The following is a 17,912-nucleotide window of genomic DNA, read 5'->3' on the forward strand; positions in this document are numbered from 1 at the left end:
TGGCATTTGACCATTTAATTTTATCAGTCAATATAAAATGATCTATATTATTCTTAATTTTCACACTTTTCCATATTTCTAATCCTAATATACTCATTTGTTGCCTTTTCCCACTTAATTGTATAATTGCAGTTCCCATGTTGCTTATAATAGCTGCATAATATTTCAGTCACTGGTTTACATAATTTACCATCTTCTTATTGCTGTTTCTATTTGTGTGTGTGTGTGTGTGTGTGTGTGTGTGTGTGTTACAAATAACACTTCCGTACCTATAGCTGTTTCTTTTTCTTTTCCTTTTTTTCCCCCTATATTTAGGGGTTGTTTTCTTAGGGAATATTTTTTTCTGAATGCGTGAGGAACTTAAAGTTTATTCTATAAGCATTTATTCAGCATCTACTGTGTACAGGGCCCTGGAGATACAGAGATGAATTTTAGAACCTGTGCACAAGCTGTCTCCATTTCCTGGACTCTCTTCCTCCCTCTCCCTTCACCTGACGAATTCTCCATTTAAATCCCACTTTGCCAATGAGGCCTTTATGTATTCCCCAGAGTATTTTAGGCTTTTCTGTACTTTTTCTTCTCATTTAGTCACAGTTATATTGTGTACATCTCAGAATAACTAAGATTACTTCATTTTTGCCTTCCTCATTAGACTATTAAACAGTAAACTCTGAGAACAGGTTTTATGTCTGATTTATTTTCCTTGGTACCCTCAGTACCTGGGACATTATGTCTGGCATATACCAGGCACAGAAATTCAAATGAGTACTTGCATAAATGAATTAGATGAACAAATATTTGAATATGATTCTTGCCTTGAGAAATTTAGATTAGAACTGAAAAATGGATTCAATGGATAATTTCGATGATGTGTAAGTGCTTTATAGAAAATAGAAAATAAACCTTTTCCTAGCTATTATCTTTTCCTCCTTTACAGTGAATCCCTTGGAAGAGGATTCAATTCCAGCAAGTCATTTAATGTCTTACTTTTGCCCATACTCTGCAGCAGAAATGGGCTTGTCTTATTTTCTGCTAAAACTGTTGCTTTTCTATGCAAATCCTACTTTATTTCTCATTGCACTGAACACCATTATCATTCACCTTTTTCACTTCTTTTTGACATGTTGGTTATCTTTGTTTTTTTTTTCTTATTATTAAAAATCCTGTTTCTTCAGCATCCCCTTTTTCCTGGTCTTATCTGATAGCTGTACCTATTCTGCTGTTTATGACCTTTTAAAAACTGTTAGCTCCTTGAGGGAAGGGATAGTGTGATCTTTTGGTAGGAGACTTTAAAAGATCCACTTTCTTATATTTTAGTGTATCCCTTGGGTCAAATGGAGGATTTTTTTTTAAAGGATGATCATCAAATAAATATTTTAAGTAATTTGACCAAAATTTATCTTCTTACCTTTTTACTAAAAATATACACTAAATAATTTTAAGGGAAGATTTTATAGTCTCATATTCAACATGGAAATTTCTTGATTAGTATTGCCCTGACTTTATTGGTTGCTTCACGGGTGGCTTCTGAATTCATTTCTTGGAATGTTACTATTCAGGGCCAACTTTGTTAGTATTGCTACGTTGTGATTTAATTTTTTGCCACTTACACATTCTAGCCAGTCTGGAAGATCTCCACCAAAACACCTGTATAGTTCAGTCTGAATTTAGAAGTGTCACTTGCAAGAGAGGCAGCAACGTCAGGCCCGTGAGACTCAAGAGAAGTCTCTTTCCATGATAGATCTTCTTATACTTGGTAGAAACTGGCAAGTGACTCACCAGGGGTGGAAGCCTGGAAAACAGCCTGCCGAGGAGGGTAGTCTTTCTGGTAACACATCGCCACCCCTTTGAAGCATCCAGAGAACCGGAAGAGCAGGAACTGCCTGTCAGACTGACTGAGCGCTTGGCATTCTTTCATGGAAAGATGACAACTCATCCAGGGTGAAAGAGGAAGTGGAGGGGGGTGGCAGGGAACAGGAGGGTGACCTTACATTTCCATTGTTTTGCAGGCTGCCTGGTCGAGTGCAGTGGGTTGTTTGGGGGTTGGGAGGAATTGGAATCATGTACTTCTATTGTTGCTGTCCAAAGTGGATGTCCTGTGCTGTGTTGCCAAGGAGGGGAGCTTGTACCCATTTTATCCTTGTGCTCCTTCGTAATCCAGATGGTTTGTGATCTGATATTTCTTTCGTGCTTAGCCCTGGACTCTATCGGTTAGAATCCTAGTATCATTTTAAGAACTGGGATTCTCCTATGCCAAATTTCTGTGAAATCTGAGAGCCAACAGACCGACATATTTTTCCGGGCTATCTCTGGCTTTGACAATGGCATATTTTGAGTGTCAGTTGATTTTTGTCTCAGTTTATTGGCTTAAGTAGTAAGAGTCAAGGGATTGAACTGCAGCAGTAGTGTTATTTTGATAATTTATTAAGTGTTGTCTTGGGAGATCTTGGGGGGAAAAAGAGTTTAGTTTAGTTCTTTCTTATAGGAAATTTTGTTTTGTTTTGTTTTTGAGATGGAGTCTCCTTCTGTCACCCAGGCTGGAGTGTGGTGGCATGATCTCAGCTCACTGAAACCTCTGCCTCCCAGGTTCAAACGATTCTCCTGCCTCAGCCTCCCAAGTAGGTGGGATGACAGGCACCTACCACCACGCCTGGCTAATTTTTGTATTTTTAGTTGAGACAGGGTTTCGCCATGTTGGCCAGGCTTGTCTCGAACTCCTGACTTCAGGTGATCTGCCCGCCTCAGCCTCCCAAAGTGCTGGGATTATAGGCATGAGCCACCACACCTGGCCTTATTTAGTTCTTTCTTACTATGGCTAGAACCCTCCCAAGAGTAAAATAAAGACTTCAGTGGACAACCAGTGGTGAGTTCACTTTCTAGAGAATGGCAAGTCATCGGAACACTGGTCAGTACTCCCAATTCTATGGCATATCTGCACATCTGCCATCTTTGGTCAGCAACCCTCCAGGACTGCCTTCTTCACACCTGTGCGTGAACTTCCAAGCTATACTGGGCAGGTTGGTGCTGCCCGTTTCTCCCATGCTATTTAACGATTACTCCATGCAGTTACTGTTCTTCTTAAGGCCTCTCCACCCGCCTCACTCTTTTAACATATGACTTTGTATCTGACTTTACTAAGCAACTTGAAACTTCTTAGAATGAGCTCCTCCATTTCCTGTCCTGATGCCTGCAAACTTATGTGTAGTCACAGTTATCTTCATCTGGTTTTCTCCAGGGGTATCCCATCTGCTCCTGCATCCTCCTAGGCCTTGCTCTGTTAGTCATTGTCCCTCCCTCTCTTTCTAATTTTCAGCCACATTTATTTACTGTCTGTTTCTCCCTCCAATGTGTTACTGTCTCTTTCTCCTTGGCTGTCAAATGTTCTCTGCGTTTTCCATTTTTGTGCTTCTCGTACCTACTAATGACTTACCTATTTGTCAACTCCAGTGGACACGCTATAGTCCTTATCTTTCTGGAGCTTCTTCTTGTATTTAACCCAACACATCCACTCTCTTCTCTAGAAGAGTTTTTAGCTTCTGCAACCGTCCATGCTTCTGTTCTCTTGCTGCCTCTATGTCTTGTATCTCCTTGGTGGGCTTCTCTTCCTTTGCCCACCTGTTACTGTTGGAGTTTAGTTCTGGGAGTGTTGCTTTTCTCTCCTCATATATACTCTGGCCTTGGGACTTCATCTGCTCTCTAGGTTTTCACTCTCTGTGTGCCAGTGATTCCCATGTCTCTGCCTTGCACTGCCTGGTGACCAGATTCTGCTGGTTGTCATGTGAGTATCTGAAAGCCTCCTTAAATTTTCCAGGAGCTGAATGCATGACCATTTCTCCTAAACCTCCCCTTCTTTTCTGAATTTAGAGACCATATTATATATGGTGGTTAAGATTGGGGCTCTGGAATCAGATTTGGATTTGAATTGGGGCTCTGATACTTCCTGGATGTTTGAGCTTGAACAAGTCACTTAATTCCCTGACCCTCAGTGTCTTTCTTTTTAAAATGGGGATAAAAATACTATCCATCTCAGAAATTCTTATGAGGTAGATTGTAATGCATTTGTACAGTGCCTGGCTCAGAATAAGACTGGAATAAATGTTAGCTGCTGCTGTTCTCTTTCAGTTTCCCTCATCCACGGAGACATCCAAGCCAGAAACCTGGGAGTCATCTCTAATGCCATTTTCCTTTAGCTCCTTAATGCCTGTTTTCTTTAGCTTCCATACATAGCCAGTTACCCAGTGTGGCTGATTTCTAATCACTGTTTACTTCTTCCTTCTGGACATTTCTGAGTTTTCCTTTCTCTTGATTCCCATTACCACTACCTGTGTGAGGCCTTTATCCTTACTTTCCAAGATGAAGCCACAGCCTCCTGCCTCCTTTATGTTCCTGTGATCCTCCCTCCAGTGTGTTACCAGGCTGCCTCTCTGTGTCTAACAGGGTTTCCACCCTGGTTGAAGCCCTCTTGTGATGCTCCATTATATGCAAATCAAAGGCCAATCTCCTTAGCATGGTATTCCTGGGTGTCCTCCTGGCCCTTGGTGGCATTCTAGCCTCCCTTTTACCACTTCCTGATTCCGGCTTCATCCTTGAGCAACACAGTCTTGCTGTGTTCCCTGTGCAGGCCCTGCTCTTTAGGCTCTTTCCCACCTTTGTTAGCGACACTGCTTGGAATGCTCCCTTCCCTGCTTTTGACTTAGTAACTCCTCATCCTGAGGACTCAGCTCAGCTATCACCTCCTCCAGGAAGCCTTCTCTGACCCTTCCAGGATAAGTTAGGTAATCTTCCATAGAGTCCTGTCATTCTCTGTGCCCATGATGCACTTACCACGTTGGATCATAATCTATTTATGTGTCTTTCCTCCCAGCCTCAGTCCTGAAGGGCAGAAACCATGTGTCATTCCACCTCATATTTTTGTGCCTAGCTGGATGCTTGACATGTAGTAAGTGCTCATGAAATGTTTGTTCATTGAATAACTGAATTCAAGAACCAGTAGACCTCTGGATGACCCTGGTTTCCTGTTTCTGTGGACCACAATGCTCTGGGGCAGTGCTGCGTATCAGAGGTTCAAGCCATGGCTGGAGCAGCCACCCCTGAAGTAGACACCCTAATATCCTTCCCACTGAGTTCCTAGTTCTACATGCTGGAGTGAGGCTGTCAACTCTGAAGTGTCAGAGTGTGTCTGAAAATGATTGCTGTGAAAAATAAAATATTTCACATTGCAGGCCTCATTTTTAAGTTATTTTTCCCAGAGAACATTTTCATATTTTAGAACTTATGGTAATGTTAACACTTTCTATTTGCATAAGCACTTCCCTGTTGGGAGATACTGCAGGTGTAAGTTTTTCTGAGGAGTGTCATACCACCATGGAACTATTTTCCATCGATCTGGAGATAGGGAACTTCTTGTATACTCTGAGAGAGAACTTCTTTGAGATGTAAACTAGACTGACCTACTTTAGAGGCTGCCTGTATCCTAATTTTCTATTTTAAAAGAGTGATGGCTGAACACTGAAAAGCTCGGGACATTTTAGAACTGTGCTGCCCAATATGGTGGCCACTAGCCATATGTGGCTATTTAAGTTTAAATTGAATTAAAATAAAATGAAGTGGAAAAAATTAAGTTCATCAATTATATTAGCCACATGTAACTGATGACTAGTGGCTACCTACCATATATAGAACATTTCTATTATTGCACATTATTCTACTGGACAATGCTGTTTTAGGATGTAGAAGTCCTGATGGATAATATCAAAGCCACCTTACCACAGACAGAGTTTTACAGAGCTGTGAAGTAATTCTTACTGGGAACACCAGATACTTACTTACCATTTTATATAGCGTATGTGGCATTCTCTCATCTTATCATTAGAGCATGCCTGTATCTTTAGCGACAATAGCATTCAAACACCAAATGTTATATTGTCTGTCTGGAAATGTTTTCTTATACAACTCAAAGGGGAAGAGAGGAATATGTCGTGAGTAAATGGAATTATTTTTCTCTGCACCACATCATTATAAAAACTCGAAGAGGTTGGGTGCAGTGGCTCACGCCCATGATCCCAGCACTTTGGGAGGCCAAGGCAGGTGGATCACTTGAGGTCAGGAGATCAAGACCAGCCTGGCCAACATGGTGAAATGCTGTCTCTACTAAAAATATAAAAATTAGACGGGCATGGTGGTGGGCGCCTGTAATCCCAGCTACTCGGGAGGCTGAGCCATGAGAATCATTTGAACATGGGAGGCGGAGGTTGCAGGGAGCCGAAGTCGCGCCACTGCACTCCAGCCTGGGTGTCAGAGTGAGACTCCATCTCAAAAAAAAAGAAAAAAGAAAAAAGAAAAACTCGAAGAGGCTAAAACGTATCCTGGAACTAAATATTTACATTTCTTAAAGCCATGTGTGTTTTCTTTGGATGAAAGGATAACAAATGATTTGTATCGTTGGATAATATAAAAACACTTCAAAAAGTTAAAATTGAAAGAAAGGCAGGATCTTCTACTTTTCTTTATTTTCCTCCCCAGTTACCCAACCCACTTGGCTTCCAGGAGCCTGAGAAGTTGAAGAAGTAAACAGAGGTTTAGTTCAGCTGTTAACCATGCTAGGAAGTTCTAGCTATCTGGTAATACCATGGAACTCACCAGAATCTTTCATCATGGACCAGCTGCTTTTTACACTTGGATACCAGTACCCTAGATGGTGGGAGAGACTGGAAGGATCGTTCAGGTCAGGGGTGATGGACTTCTGCAGTCCCTCTCACATACACTGTTCAAGTTACCTACAGTAGCTACGCACGGAAAGTAGGGTGTGAGTCATTCCATGATTGACAACCCCAGTGGACCACAGGTGACTCCCACCTGGGTGGCTTCGGGAACTCAGTTCAGAGGCTGCAGCAGGTGGGATATTTTTTGGATTATGGAGAGCTGTTTGATTTCACATCAGTGGGTTCTTCCCTCAACCTTGTTCAGATCAGTGCCTGAGTAAGTTCTAATATATTAACCTTTTCTGAGAGAAGAGATGTGAGGATGAGGGTGGAGGGTGTGAATCTTGTTTTTTCACCATCCTGTTACTCTTCTGCATGCGGTGTCCCCTTACTGAGGAACAGAATAGAGGAGCTGTAAGTTGGGGTATAGTGTGGCAAGGTTTGTGAGAGACTTAAGAACAAAGGGTGTTTATCATAGGTAATTATCACAGTGTTGTTAGAGTGTAGGCAGAGCAGCTTTCTAACCAACATTACAAGTTTATTTTGCTAGTGAAACCTTTTATTTACCAATGAAGCATTAGAATTTCAGAGAGTTAATTGTTTGTGAACTTTGTTCATGGTCTTTCTGAAACTTTCAACTCTCTGTTTAGTTACAATAAGGCTCATTTTATAGCCTTTATTGTCCTCTTTTGAGAAGAGGCAGTATAGGTAGATAGGAACATGGGCTTGGGATCAGATAGACTGGGAATAGAAATCCATGCCTGACGCTTGGACAAATTGTTTAAACTTCTGAATGTTAATTTCTTAACCAGTAAAATGGGAATAATAATGCTTACCTTACAGGCAAGGGGACAATTTCTTTGTGTGGAATAAAAAAAGGAAGGTAAGCTGACTCATTTTCAGAAAGATCTTTAAAAATTAATAAACATGCCATATTCCTTAATCTTATTTATGATTACATTTGGTTTATTTAAGTTTTACCATGCATATCTACTTAGTGTTATCAAACTATAAGGAGGAAGGGCTCTTGGTAAAATCAGTGAGATAATCTCAGAGTCTGTGCTCTTAGGAAATTAATAAAAAAATTAAATCTGATAAAAAAGATCTGTTTTAATAGCAAATTCCTTTTTAAGACTAATTGCTGTATTATCTAAAAGGAAACAAGCTGAGTGCAGTGGCCCATGCCTGTAATCCAAACACTTCGGGAGGCTGAAGCGGGAGGATTGCTTGAGCTCAGGAGTCTGAGACCACCCTGGTCATCATAGCGATATTTCATCTCTATGTTTTTATGTTAAAAAAATAGCTAAGTGTGGTGCTATGTACCTGTAGTCCCAGCTACTTGGGAGGCAGAAGAGGGAGGATAGCTTTGAGCCCAGGAATTCGAGGTTACAGTGAGCCAAGATTACATCACTGCATTCCAGACTGGGCGACAGAGTGGCATCTTGTCTTAAAAAAAAAAAAAAAAAAAGGAAACAAGGGGCCAAGGGAAATGGGGAGACTAGGAAATTCAAAGGATTATTTATTGGCAAACAGCAAAACCCTTGATTATTTGAATGTTTTGCTATTTTGAGTAATGTTATTTACTGATTACAGTGCAGTCTGAGTAATAACAAATCCATCATCCAGAGAGTTTTTGAGGCTAGACCACTCAGTTTTGACTGTTCACATACATTATTACATATTTGTAAAAGTTGAGTTTCATGTGACTGACACAGAAGAGGTGGAGTAATCAAATGTTCCTCTCTAGGATACTATGCAGTGATCATAAGGAAAGGAAATGAAGGTTCCCTTTTCCCTAATGCCTATATTGCTCAGGCCAGCACTCCTGAAGATGCTTGTTCTGTTGAAGCTCCATAATGTGTCGATGACCCTCTTTGCATCTGAGGCTGGGTTAATCCCCAGAGGTACAAAGACAAGTCAGGGATGGCATCTGTCTTGGAGATGAGGTTATCCTGAAGGGGATGTGGACATTGGCACAGGGGATACCAGTATCAAATGATTGGTGTTGAACAGGGAGCTGGGAGATCATAGAAAACAGCCTCTTCCCTCATGTGAGAAGAAGGGAGGTTAGGGCAAGACTTCCTGGAGAAGTCGCCTAGACGGAGTCTTGAACAATGGGTAGGACTTAGATGATGAACGGGTGAGAGAGAAGGAGGAAGGCATTGTAGGCTAAGGGAACAGCATGAGTGTCAGTGCATTAAACAGTCTGTGTATGCTTGCAAGGGCAAGCCTTTCCATGTCAATAGCATATAAAGCATAAGGGTGGGAATCAAGGACTATAAAGGGGTAGTTGGGGGCCCAGCCATGAAAAGCCAAGTATACTCTATGAAGGCTTAGAGCATATGCTTCTAGCTGATGGGGAACTGTTGAAAAATTTTAAGCAGGGGTGTAAATGGCCAGATTTTCCTGGTTTGCTATGGCAGCTCATTGAGTCATAGATTTGTGGCTGGATAGCAGGAACCGATCATGATAGGCTCAATGTGAGATGATGAATATGTGTAAGAAAGCAGTGAAAGTCAGGGCTGGAGAGGAGAAGATGGGTTTGAGAAGTACACAAGATTTGGAGTTGATACAATTTTGATCAACTGGCTACGGGGAGTGGATGAGATGGAAGAGACCAGAATGACACTTGAAGTTCTGGTGGCCATTTTGAACCTGGGGAATATAGGAGGAAGAATGGGTATGTAGGGGCCAAGGTAATATACTGATTTTAAAAAGTGTCCATCTGGCAATTGAATGTGAGTCTGACGCTCTGGGAAGATGGCGTCTGGAGATGGGAATCTGGGAGCCATCACCTAGAGGTGGTAGTTAGAGCCATGTGAGTAGGTTGGTGCCCAAAGAGAACTCTGAGGATGAAGAAGGCAACGGGCAGGGGATGGAGTCCAAGGGAACACCAGACAGAAGTGGAGGGATGGAGGGAAGAGGAAATTTCTAGAAAAGACTCAGAAGAATGGGTCTGGAGGTAGAATCTGTGGTGTCACAGAAGCTGGGGCAGGGGACAGTTTTATTTTTAATAAAAATTTTTTACATATATATGTAAAAATATGTAAATATATAAAATTTTATATATATACGTGTGCATGTGTGTGTATATGTGTGTGTGTATATATATATTTGTGTGTATATATATATTTGTATATATATAATATATATATATATATTTGTGTGTATATATATAAATAAATTGCCCAGGCTGGTTTTGAACTCCTGGCCTCAGGCGATCCTCCTGCCTTGGCCTCCCAAAGTGCTGGGATTATAGGTGTGAACTACCATGCCTGGCCTGGAGACACTTTTAGGAGATTTATAGCTGAGATAGCTAACCCAAGTCACCCTTAGTATTTGATGAAGTAGCAGGCAAGATAGAATGGGATTGGGAACTTGAAGAGAATGGAGACTGTTTGGAATATCCCAGTCACTGAAGGAAATGGGAGATGAGATGATTGAGGAAAAGTAAAAGAAGTGTGAAGAGATGCTGAGGCTCAGCTGAGATTAGAAACTGAATTTACAGTGGCCCAAGTGTGTGTGGCTCCCCAGCCTGTGTGTCAGAGGCAGCAGATACTGAGACTGGTCCAGGGTGGATTTTTACCAGTCAGATGTGGCAGAAAGAAGGTGTGAGGACGTGTGTATGTGTTTGCAGGGGGTGCTTTTAAGAATAGGAATGGCCAGGTGTGGTGGTTCACACCTGTAATCCTAGCACTTTGGGAGGCTGTGGCTGGTGAATTGCTGGAGCCTCAGGAGTTCGAGAGACCAGCCTGGGCAACATGGTGAAACCCCATCTCTACCAAAAAGTACAAAAACTTAGCCAGGTATGGTGGTGTGTGCCTGTAGTCCCAGGTACTAGGGAGGCTGAAGTGGGAGGATCACCTGAGCCCAGGGAGGTCCAGGCTGCAGTGAGCCATGATTGCACCATTGCGCTCCAGCTCGGGCAACAGGGTGAGACCCTGTCTCAAAAAACAATTAAAAATAAAAATAAGGAACAGGAAGGAGTGTGGCTAGGAGGGACCTAAGAGGATAGAAGGAAGCAGTTCGTAGACCTGGATGGCTTGTATGGTTAAAAAGCAGATGTAATAGAAGGGCAGGAGGCGGTAGGGTGATGTAGTCTCCAAGGTAGAGCAGTTTGAGGGAGTGGCCATGGGAATGGCTGAGAGAAGTGGCCTGGAAGTGAAGGCCAGTGAGGTAGAGGATAGCCCACAGGGAAACCTTTGTAGAAATGGGACTTTTATTCCACTTGTAAGATTCACACTGAATTATAGCATTGGATGTGTAGAATAAGAAACTTCATTTTGGTGTTTGAGAACACAGTAGATAGGTGTGTGTCCTAAATGTTTTGAGCCATATGCAGGGGCAGGTATAGGATAGTGTATCTGAAGATGCTGTTGGGATTCTATTGTCATTTATTTATGATGTGGTAAAAAGTCTGACTTTGTGTCTCTTTAAAGGAAAGTTTTGACAATGAATATAACTTATAATAATACTTTTATGTATTTACACTTTTCAAAGTCATTTCATAATGTTTGCTATTCAGTTTAGTTTAGTGGCTCTGGGTAATCTATTTAAAGTCCATTTTCAGTTTGTTAGTTTCTGTAGACTACAAGTGTAGAGGGAAAATGTATTTCACGTATTTCACTGGGTAAGAGAATGGATTATTAGCAAGAACTTAAATCTAAAATTTAAGCAGTTTCTAGTGCTGAGGGACACGATAGATTTATGCTGAATTGTATATTTCTGTATTTGATTTTTTTTTAAACTGCAGGCATCTGTGTCTTCCAAGGTGAGAAAAAACGTTAAAACATATCATGTATTTTCTGGCCTCCTACTATGTACCAGGTGGTATGAGGACATAAAGAGGCAGAAGATACGATTCTTGCCCCTAGATAGCTTCACATTTAGCTGAAGAAACAAGACATAAACACAGGAAAAGTTAGCTAATCATGCAGGGTTTAAATAGCAAGGCATGACATGACTAATGGGGAGATGCATTGTTTAGGCAGTAATTCCTACAGGAGTTCAGAAGAAAGAGATTATTTTAGGCTGTGACAGTAAAGGAAGGGTGTAAAGACTTAAAAGGAGAAAAGAGAAAAGGCTTATGTAGAGGAACTGAAACTTGGGAATGACTGAAGCCTTGTTCTACCACTTATGCCTTACCTTGTGCCTCAATTTCCCAATCTGTATAACATAATGATGATGTGTTACCTCCCAGACTGTCAGAAGATGAGACAGTGATTGCAGAAAAGCTCTTTGCAAATAATGCCTGGTCCCTCCATACTGTGTAGACAGTAAAAATCGTACACTTTTTGAAAGTCTTTGAAAATTTAGGTTACTAGGGTATAATTTCTGTCGTTCAAGTTTGCCAAGTAGGATTTTTTAAATTAGCATATTGCCAGAAGTTTGACTTTCTTCTTTTTCCCAGTAAGGAGAGATTTGTAAGACTCTGAAAAAATTTTAAGCAAGCAATTAGACACATTATTACTTTGGGAAAATTGCTTTTATGGCCAGGCATCCTTTTCTGTTTCTTTATTTCCTTGAGCAAAGATAATGATTGATAAGGAAGTAAAACTAGAAAGAAGCCAGATCCAAACTTAGAAGGAAAATATTTTGTCACGTATGGAAGTTCAGTGGAGGTTGCAGGTTGGCTGATGACCACTTTGGGTGAACCCAGCCTGACACTCAGCATTTTGGAGATGATAGTCTCAGAGTTCACAGGTTTCCTGTGTATAAGGAAATGGATGTCGGTCATTTCAACTGTACTGTTAATTGCTTTGGGAAAATGAGTGGTATTCATTAGGCAAGGAAGCTTGTAGCCAGCCCTGTAATTAATGTGAAACCTTTTCATACAGCCAGTGGCTCTTCAGCATCTCTGTACTTTATGTTTATGTGTATACTTAGGCTTGCTTCAGTGGCCAGAGGCTTCAAGGCATTCAGGGCTCTGGGGGCTCTTATTATAATGGTAATGAAAATTGGACCCTAGAACTTTGGACCTCCCCAGCCTTAAATCCACTGAGAGGAGCTCTCTGTCTAGGGATGTGGCTCCTTCTGCTGGCTTCTTCCCTTCTCTAAGATAGCAGTGAGATGCACTAAACATGAGATTTCTAAAACAAATACTTCGATGAGTAGGAAAGTCTGTTTTCCTGAATATATCCACTTTCCTACATATTCCATTGCTTGTGGAAGCAATGACCCAAGGGTTATATGCAGGACTTTTTCTTACTTTGGCAGACTGGAGACCCAGAGCTCAGAGAAGGCAGAAAGTGTGTTAAAGAACAATAGGAAAAGTGGTGAGAGACAGGCAGATGAAGGAAGCATGAACTACCATCACAGAGAAAGGGTAGAGTCAGCAGGTAATTCTCAAAGGGATGTGCATCTGCCCCTAACCCAATCTAAATGCCTGACTCAATGTCCTCAGAGGACACGAACCCTGGAAAACAAGTATGAGATGATACTACTCAGGTATTGCGTGTGTGTGTGTGTATGTGTGTGTGTGTGTGTGTGTGTGTCAGAGGTCAGCCCTGATGTAATTGCCACCGAGGTCACCGTGGATGAGGTCATTGTGGGTGAGGTTACAGTGCAAGAGCTGTCTTTTGGTGCTGTTCTGGTCTTGTGATTTCCCTATTTTCAGCACCCAGTAGGTAGGTGCTCAATAAATGTTTGTTGGAGGAATGGGTGCTGGGGCCAGCCCCCTAACTCTGGCCTCTGTTGGACGTTTTGTGACCTGGAATCATTCTAGAAGGAAAGAGACTGCCCAGAGTGGATTTGTGTCCTGCTTGTGACTTTCTTGGTAACAACTACAATGAATATGCTCCCCAGGCTCTTAATCTGGAGAACTCCTTTTTTTTTTTTTTTTTTTAAACAGTCTCGCTCTTTCACCCAGGCTGGAGTGCAGTGGCGCAATCTCGGCTCACTGCAAGCTCCGCCTCCCAGGTTCACGCCATTCTCCTGCCTCAGCCTTCCAAGTAGCTGGGACTACAGGAGCCCACCACCACGCCCGGCTAATTTTTTGTATTTTTAGTAGAGACGGGGTTTCACCTTGCTAACCAGGATGGTCTCGACCTCCTGACCTCGTGATCCGCCTGCCTTAGCCTCCCAAAGTGCTGGGATTACAGGCGTGAGCCACCGCGCCCAGCCTGGAGAGCTCTTGATCTGTAGGTGAATCTTAGTATGAGGGCCTTGGAGGAGCTTCCAAGTGTCTGAGAGCCTCATGAAATGGGATGCAAAGTTAGGAATTTCTAAGGAGAAAGTCAGAGGAGCCTCTGATTCCCAGCCGGCTGCTAAGCCCTTCCTTAACCAAGGTTCACCCTCCCATGTTGCCTGCTGGGCTGCCTTACAGCAGCCTCTAGTTCCAACATCTGCTGTAGATTTCTGACACTCACAGTCTACCCTTCACCTCTTCTCTGGCTATTACCAGTACTTCCTCACTATCCCTAGTCATGGGAAAAAAAAAAAAGAGAACCGTGTCCCCAAGATGATCTTGCCTTTGAGCCTTGTGTGTTTCCTGACAGGGAAAAGGCCCTGTACTGCCATGTCCTCCCCTCTGGCTGCTTCATGCCGGGTCTTCTGCCTAATACCTGACACAAGGAGACTCCTCCAGACTGAACTGCGAGGAAAGGCTTTACAGGCAGAACAGGCTCTGCAGAGTTGCTGCTCAGTAGGCCAGGGGTCAGCAGACTTCATGCTGTGTGCCTTAGGCCACATGAGTGATCCTCCTGTAGATATTTCCCATCAGTGAAAACAGAGCTGGCACTGATCACCTCCTCTCTTACAGACTGCGGAGCTAAAGTGGGCTGCTGGTTGGAATGTGCTGTGAAAGTTGGAATGTTTTTGCAAATTTTATTTTATTTTTTGAATTTGAAGTAGAAAGCTGTTTGATTATAAATGGTGACTTTTCCCTTCTAAAATCATTTAAAATTTTTGTACCCTTTGAAAATGACATTTAATTATAGGCACTCAAAGTGCAGTTGACAATTATTGTTATTTTTGGGGAATTGTTTAAAGGATGTTCATTCATGCATGCATTTTTTTCATTATTTACTTATTCAGAAAGATGTGGAAGTCTAATATGTGCCAGGCACTGGGAAACAGTGATCCTGCTGCTCATATTTCCATTCTACACCCAAGCTGTGTACTTGGTCATGTGGCTTGGATCTTTGTAAATCTCCTTTACCCTCTTTGCCCTGAAGAACGTTATTAGAACTTGGTATGCAAAATACACCATTGGCTGATTGTTGGAATACTTTTGAGCAGGTTTGTAACCACTTTCAGTGGATGCTGTGTGAAGACCCACTAAAGCAGTGGTTCTCAAGGTGTAGCTTGCATCAGTATCACCGGGAGGGTTTGTTAAAACAGCTTGCTGGACCCCCATGCCCAGATTCTGTTTCAGTCCCTGACTGCATTTCTAACAAGTTCCCAGGGGATACTTATGCTGCTGGTCTTGGGGATCACACTTTGAGAACCTCTGCATTAGAGACATTTCTTTAGACCTAAGGGCTTTGAAGTCTCTTCTCCTGAGAAATTGGTGTGGTTTCATTAGGGTTTATCGTGAACCTTGTTTGTGAACCTGGTTTTCTTTTTGTTTGCTTTGCTTCGCGTCAGAAATTCAGATTCAAATTTGTAGCTCAACTTTAAGAAAATTTTAACAGTTACATCTTAACTTTTCCCAGCCTTGATTTCCTATTTCATTTTCCCCATTCTGATTTTACATGTTTACACAATATAAGTTCCTGTATACTGACTGTTTTGTGGAATGTAGTATATATTGAGAAATATGATTGCAGTCAGTGTTCTTTTCTTGGACATTTGTCTTTCGAATCAACTCTAAAGTATTACATGTTTTGACTGTTTAATGCATTAGTTATGGGAGTAGATTCCCCAGAAGAATTATATTATTAATAGCAACTAACCAAAGGATTGGAAAGAAAAAATTGGGAAGAAAGTGACAGAAAGTTCTTGGTAAAAAACAGAACTTTATTTTTAAACTATTGATGCATAGATAGTATCTACAAGCAGTAATACATATGCATATATCTGTATGTTTATATGTGTATATATATGTGTGTATGTATGGTTTTTTATTTTTATTTTTATTTCTTTTTGAGACAGAGTCTTGCTCTGTCACCCAGGTTGGAGTGCAGTGGCGTGATCTCCGCCTCCCAGGTTCAAGCGATTCTCCTGTCTCAGCCTCCCAAGTAATTGGGATTACAGGCGCCCATCACCACACCTGGCTAATTTTTGTATTTTTAGTAGAGACAAGGTTTCACCATGTTGCTCAGGCTGCCTCGAACTCCTGACCTCAAGTGATCCGCCTGCCTCGGCCTCCCAAAGCGTTGGGATTACAGGCGTGAGCCACCGCACCCGGCCATGTGTGTTCTTTTAAAAACTGAGAACCCTAATACATAAACAATATACTTTCTTTGGTTGTTGGAGAAAAAGCGAAGGGATGAGGTGGTGATGAGAACAGTGAAGGCAAACTACAGTGGTTGCCCAACTTTACTGGAGTCACCTGGAGTTTGTTAAGTGCGATGCCAGTTTGCTAGGCCTGGGGGTGGGGCCTGCATTTGTAATAAGTGTATCAGGAAATTCTGACCCACGAGAGGTGGGAGAGGTTTAGCACTGGGTAGAAAAATGAAAGGCCCAATCTGTATTAAACCTGCTCCAAATCTTTGTATCCATTTTTGGATGAGGAGTTCCTGTTCAGATTTTCTGCAACTTTTCCTGAAATCAGAGTGTAATGGGCACAATATCATTCATATTAGTCAGTCTTAGCTCCAGAAAGTACTCATTATGTTAGATGTTCATTGGAAGTAGTTTGTAGCTGATTTTTTTCTCTTTCTTCGCTCTCTGTATTTCTGTCTTCTACTTCTGTTTTTAGTTGAAGAGAAGATACTTTACCAACAGCTTGTCTGAAAACAATTTGCAGATAGGAGTACTCATAGAAAACTCTTGGGGTTCTCACTGTGGGTCTTCTCCAGGGGTGTGGATAACACCAAACACTGCAGTATGGAAACTAGCGCAAAATGGGATGTGCTGTGACACTGGCCAGCTGGAGACAGTTGGGACAGGGGATGACTTAACGTTAACATGGGAATGTTACATACACAGTCTAGAAAGGCCAGATATTCTTTTGCACTGCTGCCTCTGGCTCTCTTTTCATCTATTTAGTGAATAACCAAATTTATCACCTGTAGTAATCAGTTACTAATTTAGAATTTAATTTCTTTAAGAGTTACCTGGATTTAGGGCTCAGTGAAGGCAGTTTTTATTTAAAAGCATTTTCTTGAATAAACATTTTAGAACAGTTTTAGTATTACAGAGAAACTGTGAAGATAGTGCAGAGAATTCCCATATACCCAACAGTCAGTTTTCTGTATTATTAATGTCTTAGGTTAGTATGCTACATTGTCACAGCTAATGAATCAATAATGATACATTATTACTAATTAAACTTCATAGTTTATCAGATTTCCTTAGATTTTACCTACTGTTCCATTTCTGTGTTAGGATCCCATTCAAGATACCACATCATGTTTATATGTCTGCTTAGGTTCTTCTAGTCTGTGACAGTTTCTCAGACTTTCCTTGGTTTTGGTGAGCTTGACAGCTTGACAAGTCCTCGTCAGGTATTTTATAGAATGTCCTTCAAATTGGGTTTGTCTAATGTTTTTCCTGTGGTTCAAGGGTTTTGGGAGGAAGACCACACAGGCAGGCATAGTACCACATTTCATTCCATCATGTCATATCAATTGCATAATTAGCTTTTACATGCATACATGCTATCAAAACGACCTATCACTGTTGATGTGAACCTTGATTGCATGGCTAAAATTATGTTTGTCAGATTTCTCACATAAAGTTCCTCTTCCCCTTCTTTCCATACTGTACTCTTGGGAAGGAAGTCACTGTACATAGCTCACACTTTAGTTGTGGAGAATTATGCTCTACCTCCCTGAGGGAGGTAGTATTTAGAGAAATTATTGGGAATTCCTCTGCTTGGGAGATTTGTCTATTCTCCCCCATTTATTTATTCTATCATTTATTTGTATCAGTATGGACTCATGCATATTTTATATTTTAGGTTATAATCTAATATCACATGATTGTGCTCCTCAAATTGTTTCAGATTTGGTTTTTGGGAGCTGTTTCAATAGGCTCCTGTGTCCCTTTGTGACATGCCACCCATCCTGGTGGGTTTTTGTTGTTGCATGTGTGCTTTTTAAAATC

General features: G+C 41.5%; 1 protein-coding gene across 6 annotated transcripts in view, besides 2 other annotated features; it reads left to right on the plus strand.

Moving 5' to 3' along the window:
• Window positions 1-17,912, plus strand: part of PRKCH (protein kinase C eta) — a 363,509-nt gene that overhangs the window by 166,723 nt on the left and 178,874 nt on the right. The window lies entirely within an intron of this gene.
• Window positions 1,221-2,420: an enhancer, noted in NCBI's record as "MED14-independent group 3 enhancer chr14:61822129-61823328 (GRCh37/hg19 assembly coordinates)". NCBI's record gives its function as "activates an origin of replication core promoter dependent on BRD2, BRD4, P300/CBP and CDK7 cofactors, and independent of MED14, by STARR-seq in HCT116 cells {active_cell/tissue: HCT116}" and the evidence as "EXISTENCE:reporter gene assay evidence [ECO:0000049][PMID:35650434]".
• Window positions 1,701-1,995: an enhancer, noted in NCBI's record as "identical tiled regions #1024 and #14115; HepG2 Activating non-DNase unmatched - State 24:Quies, and K562 Activating non-DNase unmatched - State 3:PromF". NCBI's record gives its function as "activates a minimal TATA promoter and a strong SV40 promoter by Sharpr-MPRA in HepG2 and K562 cells {active_cell/tissue: HepG2 | K562}" and the evidence as "EXISTENCE:reporter gene assay evidence [ECO:0000049][PMID:27701403]".

Source organism: Homo sapiens, chromosome 14 (genome assembly GCF_000001405.40).
Source record: "Homo sapiens chromosome 14, GRCh38.p14 Primary Assembly".
Taxonomy (NCBI): Eukaryota; Metazoa; Chordata; class Mammalia; order Primates; family Hominidae; genus Homo; species Homo sapiens.